Source organism: Homo sapiens, chromosome 7 (genome assembly GCF_000001405.40).
Source record: "Homo sapiens chromosome 7, GRCh38.p14 Primary Assembly".
Taxonomy (NCBI): Eukaryota; Metazoa; Chordata; class Mammalia; order Primates; family Hominidae; genus Homo; species Homo sapiens.
The window spans coordinates 70673851-70690421 of record NC_000007.14 but is presented as its reverse complement, the minus strand read 5'-3'; the positions used below and the strand labels follow the sequence as shown (position 1 = coordinate 70690421).

The 16571-nt window shown below is 45.3% G+C and overlaps 1 protein-coding gene across 26 annotated transcripts in view, besides 3 other annotated features; it reads right to left on the bottom strand.

Moving 5' to 3' along the window:
- Positions 1 to 16571, bottom strand: part of AUTS2 (activator of transcription and developmental regulator AUTS2) — a 1195032-nt gene that overhangs the window by 103085 nt on the left and 1075376 nt on the right. The gene's annotated exons all lie outside the window — the stretch shown is intronic.
- Positions 7854 to 8779: an enhancer, noted in NCBI's record as "OCT4-NANOG-H3K27ac-H3K4me1 hESC enhancer chr7:70146629-70147554 (GRCh37/hg19 assembly coordinates)". NCBI's record gives its function as "activates a minimal SCP1, AML or CMV promoter by ChIP-STARR-seq in naive H9 embryonic stem cells {active_cell/tissue: H9 hESC(naive)}" and the evidence as "EXISTENCE:reporter gene assay evidence [ECO:0000049][PMID:30033119]".
- Positions 8780 to 9705: an enhancer, noted in NCBI's record as "OCT4-NANOG-H3K27ac-H3K4me1 hESC enhancer chr7:70145703-70146628 (GRCh37/hg19 assembly coordinates)". NCBI's record gives its function as "activates a minimal SCP1, AML or CMV promoter by ChIP-STARR-seq in naive H9 embryonic stem cells {active_cell/tissue: H9 hESC(naive)}" and the evidence as "EXISTENCE:reporter gene assay evidence [ECO:0000049][PMID:30033119]".
- Positions 15952 to 16152: a silencer, noted in NCBI's record as "peak6564 fragment used in MPRA reporter construct". NCBI's record gives its function as "represses an SCP1 promoter by STARR-seq MPRAs in K562 erythroleukemia cells {active_cell/tissue: K562}" and the evidence as "EXISTENCE:reporter gene assay evidence [ECO:0000049][PMID:32103011]".

Genomic DNA, 16571 nt, shown 5'->3' with positions numbered 1-16571 from the left:
TCCTCGAACCTTTCGTTATGGATGATGTAGTTTTAAAAGATCACTAGGTGATTGAAGGAGGGTGATAACTCCAACTAGCCTCGGCAAGGATGTCACCATGCCTGGTTTATTTCTGAAACTATGGAAGTCTCCATTCTTTTCAAGTTCTAAAGGTTCTGCAAGCTCTGAAAATCCAAGTTTCTACTTGTTCTTCAGGGTAGAGGTTTGGAGCTGGGCCCTGGAGCCAGCATCAGGTTAATAATTGTGGCTCTGCCATTTCTGAGCCAGGACAGCTTGGGTAAATCTCTTCACTCTCCCTGCCTCAGTTTCCTTATCTAGAAAGTGAGATAACAGGAGCCACACCTCTTGGGGCCTTCATCAGTAACAGTGCCTGGCACTTAGTAAGGAGGATATATTTGTTGTCTATTATGATTACAGATGACACACTTCTTTTGATTACCGTGGAGACCAACAAAATAAAAGTCTATTTTATTAGGGCCACAATGGCCATAGCCTTGCCTTCTACTGGGTTCTCCCAGTGGGGATCACCACAATAATGAAAATAACCACATGAACATCAAAATGACACCAGTCCCATAAAGTGGGTACAGTGGTTTGTACCATCTCTACTAGGGAACGACATCTTTTTTTTTTTTTTTTTTTTTTTGAGACGGAGTCTTGCTCTGTCGCCTAGGCTGGAGTGCAGTGGTGTGATCTTGGCTCACTGCAAGCCCCGCCTCCCGGGTTCACACCATTCTCCTGCCTCAGCCTCCCGAGTAGCTGGGACTACAGGCACCCGCCACCATGCCCAGCTAATTTTTTGTATTTTTAGTAGAGACGGGGTTTCACTGTGTTAGCCAGGATGGTCTTGATCTCCTGACCTCGTGATCTGCCCGCCTCAGCCTCCCAAAGTGCTGGGATTACAGGCATGAGCCACCGTGCCTGGCTGGGAACGACATCTTTATAGAGGACCTACTGCAAAGAATCCCTCCAGACAGGGTCAGAACCTGGACAGTGGATAGCTTGGGTCTCCTAATAAGGGTGTTTCTTTTTCTTTTTTCTGAGATAGGGTCTTGCTCTATCACCCAGGCTGGAGTGCAGTGGTGCCATCACAGCTCACTACAGCCTCGACCTGCTGGGCTCAAGTGATCCTCCTACCTCAGCCTCTTGAGTAGTTGGGAGTAGCTGGGAGTAGCTGGGACCACAGGTGTGCACCAACACATCTGGCTAATTTTTTAAAAATTTTTTTCTAGAGATGGTGTTTTGCCATGTTTCCCAGGCTGGTCTTGAACTCGTGGCCTCAAGTGATCCTCCTGCCTCTGCCTCCCAAAGTGCTGGGATTATGGGCATGAGCCACTGCACCCAGCCACATGGATATTCTTGGTAGATTATAAAGTCGACCCTGAATCCAGCAAAATGTTATAAAAGCCTGCCAGCCTTAAGATGTGATGAAACTCTTAATAGTGAGGGCTTCAATTTCTTAAAACATAAAATAGCAGCATCCCAATTATGTCATTTAGACATGTTAAATTGTAATTTCCAGTTTTAAGAGGACTACCGTTTTGCCTACGACTATAAAAATGATGTCTTACTGGTGCAGAAGCATGTTTTGTTTTGTTGAGATGGCGTCTTGCTGTGTTGCCCAGGCTAGAGTGCAGTGGCACAATCAGAGCTCACTGCAGCCTCCAACTACTAGGCTCACGGGGTCATCTTGCAGCAGCCTCCTGAGTACTGGGACTATGGGCATGCGCCACCACGCTGGGCTAATTTTTAATTTTGTAGAGACAGGGTCTCTTTATCTTGCTCATGCTGATCTCTGACTCCTGGCCTCAAGCGATCCTCCCACCTTGGCCTTCCAAAGTGCTGGGATTAGAGGCATGAGTCACTGCACCCGGCCATGATTTGTTTTTTTTGTTTATTTTCTCTGTATGGAGGACCCACCACCTCAATTTGGCTTTAAATGTGACTATCCAAGGACTGTGTCTTGCTTGTCTTTGTCCATGCCACAGCAGCAGTATAAATAACAGATGTGTGTCTGGAGACAACACTTTATTATCTGTTTGTGATGATAAATCCTCCTGTATGCCCCGAGCCATGCCTTCTGAACTCACCTGGTTTCTTGTGGATAGAATTCACATCTTAGAATTTGTCCACATCTTGGAATTTGTACCCAGCACAGAGTTAGGAGGCCTTGCTCAACATACCCATGATGAGAGGAATGAAGACACGGTGGAAATTGTCCCAGCATGCTAGTTAGTCTGAGGGCTCCCAACAAGTGTCTGGGTAACTGATAAGGTTGGGAGAATGCTCAGGGCAGACAACAGCTACTGAGAAGCCTGGAGGGATCTGCATTTTGACTTCGGTGCCCACTGCTCTTACTCATGGCAGTCAAGCAAGGGTCCTAGGATGGAGAACTGGAGTCAACAGGTTGCCCGCCACTGGGAGGCAGGCCGAGGTTGTCCTACTTGTCACCTCTGCTAATTCCTAATATTCTGCCTTCCACACTGTTCAGCCCAGGAGATTAAAACTCTTTCTGGTTCCCAGGGATTTCTTCTGTGTAGGCTGATTCATTTGAAACTATGGATTGGGATGTCTTCCTTAGCGATTCAGGGCTAATCAACGTCAGGTGGCCCCCAGTTCCTCTGCTCAGTGCCCCCCAACCCCTTCTGAATGGGTGATTCTGAAAATGGAAGCTTCCTTCCTTATCACCCTGAAAGGAGAGTGCAATAGCTCATGCTCGTACTGCTGTAAAGTAAAAACCTCTGCCATTATATGCCCGTGTTGCTACAATTGATCATGGATCTGCAACAAGAGGGAAGTAAATAAACTGAACTGGATTAGTTTATGATGCATACCATTGAGACACAGGGGGGAATAAATATTTTCCGAGTGTAGAAGTCAAGGAAAGGAATTTTACTTTCAAACTTCACAATGTACTATAAACTACAAAGGGGAAAAAGTATTAAAAAATCCATAAAATATATCTTACTTAACCACCAAATCTACATTAAGGTATTAATATTCAGAATCTGACAACCCTGCAAAGAAAGGCAATGAAAAATACAAATAAATCCAATCCCTGCTCGTGTCACCCAATTGGCTGTAGGTATCTCATCTTACTTTTTACAGCAGTGCATGTGATGAGAACTGTGAGGCCTCTCTGCCTCCCCTGGTCATGGCTGTCTCGTTTCCGTCTGGACTTGGTTTGCTCTTTCTCACATCATGTCATATTGATGGGTGTTTGAAACTTGGGGTCTAGCGACCTGCATTTCATATTGAGTCCATGCTCCCTGGGGGACCCTACTAAGTCCAGGTACGCATCCTGCCTTAGTTACCGGCTCATGTATCCAACACCTGGCTCCTCTATTTCCATATGAACATGGGGCAGAGTTGGGGGGTGGTAATTAAAATGAAAATGTATACAAAATGTCTGCATGAGCTGAAAGGACGGATCGGCGTAGAACACAATGTGTAAGTCAGTCATCAGAGATGACAGATTGAGGAAAATAATGTGTTCAGCGGAAAAGAAGACACTTAAGACAACTCCCCACTGCTAAATTCGATTGGATTTAAAAACAAATAAATGAATGAATGAAAAGATGCTTTCGGGTCTGGCGCAGTGGCTCACGTGTGCGTGGTCCTAGCACTTTGGGAGACCGAGGTGGGCAGATCACCTGAGGTCAGGAGTTTGAGACCAGCCTGGCCAACATGGTAAAACCCCATCTCTACTAAAAGTACAAAAATTAACCGGGCATAGTGGCAGGTGCCTATAATCCCAGCTTCTCGGGGGAGGCTGAGGCAGGAGAATCGCTTGAACCCGGGAGGTTGCAGTAAGCTGAGATTGCGCCACTGCACTCCAGCCAGGGGGATACAGCAAGACTCTGTCTCCAAAAACAAAAACAAAACAAAAAGGGCCTTTAAACAGGTGCCAGCCATTTCTATGTTTGGGGACAACTAAGAGGTAGTTGGTCTAGTGGTTAAAAGCTTAGCCACTCATGAAAGAACCAATGGGTTCAAATCCTAGCTTATCCTCCACTCCCACTTACTGTGTGATGGTGGAGAGAGGACTTTGCATCTCTGTACCTCAGTTTCCACATCTAGAAAGTATGGCCATAACATCACCTACTTTGCTGCAACTGTTGTTAGGGTTAAATGAATTCATGTATGTAAAGCACTTGGAACAGCAACTTACCTTCATCATTAGTGACAAGTCACCTAGGAGTAGACATTCTTATAGTTTCAGGAAAGCTGACTTCTAGCAGCCCCTCTTAGTTTTATAAATGAAGGTTGTCAAGCACCCAGTCCCCTAAGGGGACAGGACATATGGTAGCCTGACAAAGGCAGCCTTGCTGTAAGGTCTGTTGACAGGTGAGGATCCCAGACAGGAGCTTACTATGAAAGAAGAAGGACTGAGCTGGGGGAGATGGTGCTGGGGCGGGGGCTTGCTCAGCAAACAGTGGCTGTCATTGCACCCATGTATAAATTAAGAGCTGTAGCCATGGGCTCCCGGGCATGGGTGCAGCTTCTGGGAGGGTGGGAAGGGAGTCTCTGCAATTGCTGGTAGGGATGCGACCATCTGTGTTTCAGCAGATGCACTAAGTGGCAATGTTAGAAACAACCACTGTGGGAAACGGGGAACTGCTGGTGAACTGATCGCGTTTTCCAGTTCTCTAGGTAAGAGGCATTTTAGCCATTTTAGGCTGAGCTCTCCGCAGTTTTTTCTTTTTTTAAAAAACAATTCAGGGTAAAAGAGGGCCCTGAAACCACCTTAGATGTTCCTCAGTTGGATGCTGGAATGACTAATATGAATATTGAAAGAAATACTACCTTTTTGGGAGTTCTCCGACCATGTTTACCATTCAACAAGTCATACCACATATGTTATTATCATTTCAGCTCAGTTTGAGGGAGGACTACTGAGGGAGAACTATTTCTCTTTTTTCTTCTTCTTTTTTTTTTTTTTTTTTTTTGAGACAGAGTCTTGCTCTGTCACTCAGGCTGGGGTGTGGTGGTGCGATTTCTGCTCACTGCAACCTCCGCCTCCCTGGTTCAGGCTATTCTCCTGCCTCAGCCTCCTGAGAAGCTGGGTCTACAGGGGTGCATCACCATGCCTGGCTAATTTTTGTATTTTTAGTAGAGGCGGGATTTCACCGTGTTGGCCAGGCTGGTCTCGAACTCCCGACCTCAAGTGATCCACCTACCTCAGCCTCCCAAAGTGCTGGGGTTACAGGTGTGAGCCACTGTACCCAGCCAAGAACTACTTTTCTGTATCTGATCTGAGGACCCTCATTTCTAGCTTTGGTTAGTCCCAGGGAAAGACTGCTGCTATTCTAGGACTGAGTCAAGCTCAAAATATGATTCTAGTCTTCATTTCAGTGCCTTGAAATGGAAGGGAGGGAGAAATCAACCAACCAAGAAGTGAACCCTAGACTGAAAAAAGAGCATGAGCCATAAATTATATGTGACGGTGCCATTTACTGGTTCTAAGATTCAGCCTCTCCAAAGGACGCTGCCAAAAATGCCCTAGAGTAACACATATTTTTCCAGAATGCTACAATTATAATGTCGTTTGCTCTTACATCAATCTTGTGAGGCAAAGAGAGTAACGGAGAGTTTCTTCCTTATTTTAGATAAGGAAATGGATACAGGAGTGTAAGGAGGTCCTCTGCAGTGAAGGAATGAGGATTATAGCATGGTGCCAGCAGGCATGTCACATTCCTTCCCTAATACCATGCTCCCACTGTCCATCCCCACCATACCACAACACACCATACCACACCACACGCCACGCCACACCACCCCACACCATACCACGCCACACCATACCACACCACACACACCATACCACAACATGCCACGCCACACCATACCACGCCACAACACGCCACGCCACGCCACACCACACCACATCACGCCACACCATACCACACCACACCATCCTATCCCCACTGCTGGGTAAATCTCAGTTTCTCCCTCCACTGGCCAGATGTCTAAGACAAAATCATTCTGCTGTCTAAACTCTAGAGAGGTTTTAAGATCTGAAGGGTCATGGTAAGGCTGTCTATAAGTCACGTGACTATTCCTGGGATATACAAGTAGTTTACCTTCCCAGGTTTTGTGGTTTGAAAGATTACTGACATCCTGAGAATGGTGGCCAACCGCATGTTAGTCCATCCTTCTACTCAAAGGCTTTGCTATCTCCTCCTGGAAACGTTACCTGAAAGTATTAATAATCTTTAGGGTACTGAAAATTTGACTCCTGCATCTATGCTAATATACAATGATCTAACAAAGCTTTTTTTTTTTTTCCCTAGCCTTATTATTAAGCATCCTGATGGTCCAAATATTGACTTGCAGGAATTCTTGTTGGCTGAGGACAAAATATTTGCTTCTACTGGTTTGGGGAATCATACACTTGCTGGGGTAGTAGCTGAGGAGCTAGAATGTCGTAGAATTCCCTTAGTTTCGATTTCCTGAAAGCATTCTTATTGAGCAAGGTTTCTGATTTTCCCTCTTGCTCTGGCCTTAGTTTTTCTCTCTGTCTCTTCCATGCTATCAGAATGGAATGGGAAACCCTACTATGGCCATTCCAATAGCCTCCATCTCTGGGGCTTTATCAATCAAATTAGCACAGTTTGTAGATGGTTAACTGTTACAGAAATGCCAGTTATTATGATCATATGCCGCTGTTACATAGGGTCAGGGCAAGCCTGTGTGCCTACAAAGACCCGCCAGCTCCTCTCTGGTCCTATGTAATTTCCATTTACAGATCTGTATTGCAAATGAATTACACCAGAAATTTCTTCTTCTGCTCCAAACTACAGCTTTTCTTGAATGCTTCCTAATGGAAACATAGATCTAAGACAATATATAACATGTAGTTGTTTCTCGGCTCACCTCTGGACACTGCCATTCCTTTAGGGGCACACGTATCCTCACTGGGAACAAGATACTGCTTTGGAGAGCAGTCTGTAGATTCAATCACTCAAGGACCAGGACTGTGATGTACTCTTACACACCACCATTGCCCTTAACATCTAGTACAGTATTCTCATGCATCACATGTAAGAGATGGGTTGATACGCAGTGGTCAGATCAATGAGTAAATAAATAAATGACCAGATCTCTGCCAACTAAAACAGAAGAGAATGAAGACATTATCTCAAACATAAAACTAAACTGCAAAGTCCTTTCCACGAATTGCCAACAGTTTGGGATTTCACAGAATATAGAAACCCATATGGCTAACAACAGAGCGTGGGTACATTCTCCTGAAAATCAAAATTCTAAAAAATATATCATTAACCATTGTGGTTGCTCATCTCCAAATATGGCTCCCAAATAATTCTGTATGTGCATGTCATGCCTCCCATTAGAAGGTGAAACTTATGTCCTTGTGACTGACGTGTGACTGTTTTGATGAATAGAATGAGGAGGAAGTGATATGCTGGAGATTCAGAGTTTGGGCCCAGCAGCTTCTGGTTATTTAAGCTTGTAACACAGTTACCATATAGTAAGGATGCCCAAGCAGTACCACATGGAAGTAAGCTGAGGCCTTGGGACCACAGGGCTAGCTGAGTTCCCAGCCAACAGCCCCTGACAACTTGCCAGCCACGTGAAGAAGCCATCTTGGGTGTGGCTCCGCCAGCTCCAGCTGAACTTGCCTTAGCAGATGCCATGTGGAACAGAGAGGAAGCTTCTCTGCAGAGCCCTGCCCTAATGGCAGCATTGTATTTCCAGGCTCCAAATTCGTGGTTTGTTACAAAGCAATAATAGGTAAGTGAAACAACCATCTGGGTCAGCCTCAATCAACACTGCGAGAATGGAAGAAGGTGAGCACATGCCAGGATGAGATACATCCATGGGCACCACCTTTGTGTTCCTGCCTCTGGGAGGAAGTGACAAGGACTTTGAAGTTCGAGAAAGAGTGCTACTGAAATGAAAATAAATCACGGCAACAACAAAAAAACTTGAAATAAGAAAAATCATTGCCAAAATAAGGAAAAGTTTTCTATTTGATAAAGCAGAAGAAAACTTAACATGACAATTTTAATGAAAGAATAAATCTGGTCTCCCCCCTTTCCTTTTGGAGGCTGGGAATGTTTGTACAACTAAAAAGTCTTTAGTAATCCCTTCTTTTATCCAAAACAGATTGCAGTTTTCAGCACGGCCCCATAAACTGCAGGTTCAAAGGAACCTGAAACTGAATTAGCATAAAATCTGGAATTCTCATTTCCACCAAATGCACAGCTGCCATCTGACAGCTCTTCTGTGATTTCAGTTTCAAATAGAAACTGAAAGAAGCTGAGGTGGCGCGGGCCATGGGTTCTGTCCTTTCCCTCACTCTCCTCCACACACTCAGAGTCAAGAGGATCTTAGAGGTCTGCCTCAAACCTCTGGTTCTAGAATGAATCCCTTAGCTAACAACCTGCCCAATAAAACTGGTAGGGAACAACCCCAAAGCCACGGACAGTTAGTTTATAAGCGAAGAGGGCTGGGGGTTGCCCATAAGATATGAGTGCTTTGCTGACGGCCTCGGGAGTGTGAAAGACTTTAAAGTAAATTCACACAAAACATGGGGTCGAATATGCTGGGACTAAGTTGGAACATAGGGTTGGATCTGCTGGGAGAGGAGGTGGAGCCCCCGTTCCCAGTTTTTGCATTACAAATACCAAGAAATCCACACTGGAATACACTAAAATTTAAATACCAGCAGGTCTGTTGATTTGCTTTCATGATTCACTTAACACTTCCTCAGCTTTCTCTGTAGGTCATGACAGCTCTAGGCAACTACGTTTAATTCTGGAAAAGCAAAGTGGGCGGGTTGGGGTGGTAGTGGTGTTGCTTTGCCTACCGCTGAAATCCTTCACCTTGGGGGAACAAGTTACTCTTCTTTGCATACAGAAGAAAAAAAAAATATATATATATATATGTACACTGATGCCCTCTGAGGAGTGCATGTGCTCTGAAGAGGATTTTCTCACCCCCAGTAGCGAGGGAGGATTTATCCAGAGCCATCCCAAGCCTCTCCTCTGATTCTCCATGTGATTGACTGAATGACTCCAAGTGACAGCGGGTGGGGGCAGCATCAATAGCACATGAAAAGCGGGCTGCAAACCCTCGGGGAGCGGGAGGCAGGGCCCTACTCCTCCCTCAACAACAGGATTCCCGCCAGGCCCGGGTGGATTCTCCCAAACCACCATGCCCCACGCAGAGCCATCTGCTCCTGAACTGGGGCACGGATGTCAACTTAACATCCGCCACTCGGGTGAGAGATGGGATGGGCCTGTGCTGGCCAAGTGTGGTGGGCTGCCCTCCCTGGAACACTCTAAGAAATTCACAGGGAAGCGAGTGTGGATCTTCAGAACTTCACTTTCACTCAGGTCTGTGCCTCCTTTGAAGTTCCTCTACTGCTAATGTACAACTTTTCATATTCTCCAGGAGAGAAAAAAATGTAGGGAGCATCTGGTATTTACACAGAATCTTAGAGGGAGTTGATGGATTTAATTACAAGTGTTAGTAAAACAGGAAAATTGTAGCCAGGCTTTCAAATAGCCACTCGCCTATAACTAACAAGACTTTCGGTTGTGCTGCTGGGAAAGAATGCTATTTATTTTCCTCGCAATGAGTTTTCTGGAAGAAGAGGAGGCTGGTAAAAATACAGTTGTTGGCTGGTAGCTTTTCTTTTAATTTATGATGTTTTCCTTCTTATACAAAGATCGGGCCACAAACAACATTCTACTAGGCAGTACGTTCCCAGTTGTTTTTCCATCAGCACTCGTGGTGATGGATTTTCTTTCTGTTACCAGTGCTCACTCACAGCTGACAACCTGCATTTGCAAAATGACCAGCTGAGTTTGGGGGTGCATGAGGAGGCATGGAAATGATTTCAAAGAACTGACCTGTAGGCAGATTAGAGAACCGACCTGGACCGGATCACATGAGCAGCCAACTCTGATGAGTTTTAGAAGACTGTTTGCAGGGCTATTGTAGACCATGACAGGGAAGATGAGGTGCTGAATGAATACTGTACTGGATTAGAAAGGTCAGAAGCCCTGGATTTTACAACAGGTCCAGTCCCAACTAGTTATGACTTTGGGTAAGTCAGGTAACTATTTCTTCACCATTAAAATGCACACCAGTTGGGATGAATAATCTCTCTCTCTCTGTGATTCTTTATGATCTGGTACCTAATGTATAAACAGAGAATAGTCTCTGTGCTGAAAAATAAATATTTTCCTCCTTCTATTAATATTTTCTTAGAGTTTATAATTTCTAAGTAGGATATACCATTCAATGTATGTACCTCTTCTGCTTCCACCCTCCTCCCCACTCTCATGGAATTTCCTGATAAGCCAATGAAATGTCAGAAGTATGCTATGGTCTGCATTTAATCCTTCTAAGTGGTGAGTAAAATTCAGCTTCCTCACTGAGACAGTCAAGGTACAAGTGAGCCTCCTGGGCTCCGTGCCGCTGTCAGTTGGTACTACGGGGCCATTAAACACATTTGTCAGCTTTGTGTTTTAAAAACAAAACCAAAAGGGTAAATGTGTCATCACACCCACTTTAGTCTGAAATCCACAAGGGAAGGACTTCAGAACGAAAGAACAAAATACACATGCCTTCCCCCAAACCCACACAGATCAGAACACTGCTAAATTCTAAGTTGGGCTTTGCCTTAATCAGACCATTCCTAGCCAAGGAAATGTGCAGGCCACATTGAGAACCAATTTAGTCATTTCTGACTTCTCAACAATCAAATAAAACAATAAATAGCCTGAAGTGGGCTAGAAGCGGACAGGGACCACATGTATTTCCTCTCAGGATTTTTTTTTTTTTTTAACATGAAAGTTTGGCTTGAAAAGAACTTATTGCATAGACACATGTGGCCTCAATAGGTCAGATCTTTAATGGATGAGACAGATTCCAGATTCAAGCACACAATATCAGGATTTAAAACCCCAGAATTTGGTAATGGAAAGTTTGGGTCACATTAAGGGCTGTGGGATCCAGGGATAAGATTTAGTTTTAAATTAGCCTCTTGGGCAGGCTGAGCATCTCCCTAAGAAGCACCAGCTGTCTCCAGTTCTACCTCTTCCCTTCTCTCTGGGCACTTCCCCCTTGGATGGGCCACAACGTTCCTGGCTTCAGATTCCTTTCCCGTGTATTTATTGTTGACTCCTACCTTTACAGTTACTCATTTTTGTTTGTTTTAGATGTCTTTTAAAGTTTTGCCTAAGTGTGTATTTTGAAAAATTTCTAACAGGAAAAAATAATGATAGATGGTGAGAATAACACCCAAAAACTCTTTGCTTGACTTCCTCCATTGATAACATTTTGCCACATTTCCTTTGTCTCTCATTATGCTTGGTATATGATTACATATACCATGCAGGGTCTATTTATTCATCTACTCATTTAGGGTTTGTGTGAGGGAAAGGAAACTCTCCCAGCTTTCCTCATGGTTGCCAATCCGAGTATTAGCATATAAGACTCTGATTGGGCCAGGTTTGCCAGTGGACAGGGTCCCTGTGCTTCGAAAAACCACAGCTTTGAATTTAAAAAGTCCTGCACACACTTGGGCCTCTCTTCTGCCTTCTGTTGCCTTCAGGACTGGTGATGACTAAGCTCAGCTAGGGGCCCCTTGGAAGTTGCTCTGAGCTTCGTGGTCAACCCACAATAAAATTTAGACTAAGGGAAAAAGGAAGGCCTGCTTTGGTGGTGAGCCTAAGGCACTTACTTGCTTTAGCACGGATTGCAAAAAGAGGTTTGTTTGGTGGTACTAAGCATTCACCCAACTAATAAAAAAAGTAGTATTTGATTTTTCTGTCAGTTTCTTTATCTCTAGAATGGAAAACATACTGTACCTGTCTCTCAAAGTGTGTCTTGAAAAGACCAGGGTTGTGAAGATTACCTTAGCTAGAAGAGCATCAACTGCAAAGTAAGTGCTCAATAAATATATCTATTATGATTCTTGTTATTATTGTTGCTTATGTGTCTTGCTCCCCCCAGTACCACTCCAAGGAGAGTTGAGGGGCAAGGCAATATTTGGAAGTACGTTCGGCAGTGTTAGCCTCTTCATGTCATCAAAATCTTTCCTTAAATCCAACAGTTTGTGTATTGTATGTGTATTAAGCATACACACTTCCGCTGTATGCCTTATTTCTTTACAGTATAAGTAAGAGCCATTCATTCAGTATGGATACTTTTACTAAGTATGAACTATGTACAAAAAAAAGAAGAACAAAACATGTTATCTGCCCTTAGGAAACTTATAATTTAGGAGGGAGAGAGGACAACTACACGTGGGGAAGGTAGAACCTACTAAAATTATTATTATTATTATTTATTAATTTTTTTTGAGGCAGAATCTCGCTCTGTCGCCCAGGCTGGAGTGCAGTGGCACCATCTCGGCTCACTGCAAGCTCCGCCTCCCGGGTTCACGCCATTCTCCTGCCTCAGCCTCCCAAGTAGCTGGGACTACAGGGCCCGCCACCACGCCTGGCTAATTTTTTGTATTTTTAGTAGAGACGGGGTTTCATGGTGTTAGCCAGGACGGTCTCGATCTCCTGACCTTGTGATCCACCCGCCTCGGCCTCCCAAAGTGCTGGGATTATAGGCGTCAGCCACCGCGCCTGGCCAGAACCTACTAAAATTATAAAAATTTTATAAGGTAGAACCTGATAGGTATCCAGGGAAGCATTAAGAAAAGTCACCCGAGGTGGGCTGCAGTGGCTCATGCCTATAATCCCAGAACCTTGGGAGGCCGAGGCAGGAGGATCACTTGAAGCCAGAAGTTCGAGACCAGCCTGGGAGACAAAGCAAGACCCTGCCTCTACAAAAAGAAAAAAGGAAAAGTGACTCGAGGAAAATGGCAGGAGACACGGGGCAAAGCTAAGGTGAGAAAACACACTTAGGAGGCAGAACCTCAAGGAACGCACGAGTGTGTGGCAGTGATGCAACACAAAGGGCGATGCTAAGATGTAAAGGCTGGGGAACTGGTTAACATCAGGAACACAGAAGCATGTGGAGGCTTTCAGGGGAATATAGAGACTTTGCTTGGGACGAGATGAATTTAGAAGACCGTGAGGAAAGCCTAGCCACGGTCAGAAATTTGGGAGTGGAACATCAGAAAGAGAGCTCGGATTTGCAGATAAGTTGCAAATGTCTTCTGCAAAGAGATGAGGGAATGTCGTGGCGTGAAAAGAAAACACAACCAAGGACTACACCTGGACAGTGTCCACGTTTACTGCGCTGGGGAAGGAGTCACAGACAGAGTTGAATGACAAGAAGGGATTTCCAGGAGGAGGAGAACTCAAAAATGGCAGATGTGTTAGAGGTGCTGGAGGAGAAGGACTGAGAAAAGACAGGTGGATCGCTGATTTAGGAGGTCTCTGGTGAATAGCAGGAGAATTGTTAGAAAATGGGGTTGAAGCTAGGTTACATATTAAATGTTAAGTTCTAAACAAAGTTGTAAGAACATAGAGGCAAGTATGTACAGACGATTTTTGAAGAGTGTAACAGAGAAGGACTGGAAAGAAACAGAAAGGTGAACTTTTTTTTTTGAGATGGAATCTCACTCTTGTCGCCCAGGCTGGAGTGCAATGGCATAATCTCAGCTCACTGCAACCTCCACCTCCTGGGTTCAAGTGATTCTTCTGCCTCAGCCTCCTGAGTAGCTAGGATTATGGGTGCATGCCACCACGCCTGGCTAATTTTTGTATTTTTAGTAGAGATGGGGTTTCACCATGTTGCCCAGGCTGGTCTCAAACTCCTGACCTCAAGTGATCCACCTGCCTTGGCTTCCCAAAGTGCTGGTATTACAGGCATAAGCCAGCGCACCCGGCCAGAAAGGTGCCCATTTAAGTGAAGTCTGAGTCTGTTTTAAACCATTAGCAACAGAGAGCAGGAACAGGACACTCCACCCCTCAGACTCCCTGGGCCATTAATGTGGTTGGGCTCACTCTCTCTGTCTACATCTTTTCTCTCTCTCTCTCTCTCTTTATTTTTTGAGACAGGGTCTGGCTCTGTCGCCCAGACTGGAGTGCAGTGATGCCATCATGACTCACTGCAGCCTCGACCTCAAGGGCTCAAGCCATCTTCCCACCTCAGCCTCCTCAGTAGTTGGGGCTACAGGTACGCACCACCCCACCAGGCTAATTTTTGGTAGACATGGGGTTTTCCATGTTGCCCAGGCTGGTCTCGAACTCCTGGCCTCAAGTGATCCTCCCATCTTGGCCTCCCAAAGTGTTGGGATCATAGGCATGAGCCACCACATCTGGCCTATATCTTATTCTTCTTCTTCTTCTTTTTAATGAAGAGGAATAACCTTTTATACCAAGTCAGTAACCATCCAAATGTCATTTACTTTACATTCCTAGGCCATTTCGTTCGTGAGATGTGAAGAAACACAGGTAGAAAGAAACCTTTACAGCATGATGATCATTTTAAAGCACAGCTGCACATCCTTTGACACTGCCCCATGGAGCGGTCCCCATCTTCTTTCCTTCAGCCTGGTGGGCTTGTCAGTGCTTCAGCTCAATGGCAGAAGTGGCTCCATGTGACTTTCCAAGGCCAGGTCAGAAGTCTCGCTGCTTCTGCCTCAAGCTCTTGGGATACTTGCTTTCTGGTAGCAACCCCTCCGGCAACTCCTCCCACAACCCAGACGCCGTTCTGTGAGAAGCCCATGCTACATGGACAAGGCTTGCAGAGGTGCTTTTGTCCCTGCCAAGTGCCTCATGCATGAGTGAAGACTTTTCCAGGGGATTCCAGTCCCCAGCCATTCATGTCACCACCAGTCATGGTGGAGCAGAGACAAACTGCTTCTCTGCTTGGCCCTGTCTGAATTTCTGACCCACCAAATCCAGGAACAGAAGAAAAGGGTACTGCTTTACACCAGTAAGTTTTGGAGTAGAGAACTGGAACAAACGTTTCTTTTTCTTTCTTTTAGACAGAGTCTTGCTCTGTCGCCCAGGCTGGAGTGCAGTGGCACGATCTTGGCTCACTGCAACCTCCACCTCCTGGGCTCATCAAGCAATTCTCCTGCCTCAGCCTCCTGAGTAGCTGGGATTACAGGCATGCACCACCACACCTGGCTAATTTTTATAATTTTAGCAGAAACGGGGTTTCACCATGTTGGCCAGGCTGGTCTCAAACTCCTGATCTCAAGCCATCCACCCACCTTGGCCTCCCAAGGTGCTGGGATTACAGGCGTGAGCCACTGCGCCTGGTCACCAAACATTTCTGAAATACGGATTTTCTGCTTTATCACCGGCATTCTCCACAATAAAGTTGTTCATTTCAGAGGCAGTTTTCTACGATTGGAGGTAGGGAGTTGAGGGGGGGGAGGATTAATTTGAAATACTTCTGGAGCACAGGCCACACCTGAGGTAGAGAGAAGCTTAATAAAGGGATAGAAATTGCCAGCCTGAATCGCAGGGTGCAGGAGGTGCATCAAGTCACATGCCAGGAGCTCTTACTATGTCACTTGTAAGAGAATCAACAAATGCAAAAGAACTTGATAAATATTTTCCATAACAAAACACAATTGGTTGCAATGGGATCTAGCTCTGTTCCTCATTAGTTACCCTTCACTACTCAGACAGGCTCCATATCTCACTGAAATCCATTGTGGATTCTTTCCAGTTTGTTGGGAAATGTGACTGTACGTTTCCTTTCTACTGCATGCTTTCTTGAGCCTGCTTTTAAATCTAGAGTACATGCTTAGCTCCCTCTTCCCACAGGAGAAGGAGCTTCAGCTTCAAGGAGAGGTAAAAGCAGGTAACAAGCAGCTGCTTTTGAAGTGGTGCAGCGGCAGAGGAGGTGGAGAAGGCCAGGTTGCCATTATCAGTGGCTACCAGGTGCCGCGGGATCGCGTTAGGTGATAAAACACTTGGCTGACACCAGAAAAAAGAATCATCACTCCTCGCCTACCCCACCCTCACTCCCTCGCTCCCTCTTCTTTTTTTAAAAGGAGGCTTTTTACCCTCATTAAATGAAACCTTATCTCTGAAAGACTGCAATCCTCAGCAAATGACAAGTGCGCCTAATCTCATTTTCTGACAAGTGATTCTGACAGCACCTTCCTTTTGATTTCTGAGACATGTAGTTAGACATATATTAATCTGTCAGTCATCATCCCTAGGAAGAATTTTTTTAAAAAAGAGAAAGAAAGAAATGAACATTTGTGAATATGAAGGCATGACAAGAGGCTAGGACACCTATTTTAACCAATGCCTGAACATTCCTTTCTCAGGGCCCCCCTCCCCCACCGCCCCTTTAGCACACAGCACATCCACGGAGCAGAGCCGGGAGCTGCCCAGTCAAGGGGCCTGTGAAACAGGCCTTAGTGACTCCAGGTAATGCGGCCCAGTGGGAAGAGCATGTGCTCTGGAGTGAGGCAGACCAGGTTCAGATCCCCTCCTACCTCATAAAGCCGGCTTGATTACATGAGATCTGTCATCTCTGAAGCTCAGGATCCTATCTGTAGGATACGCCTCATGGCATCTATTAGCTCTAAAGATATCTTTATCTAATGTGCCTGCAGGCATAGAGTAGGCACCCCAAACACAGAAGCACTTACTAATACCATT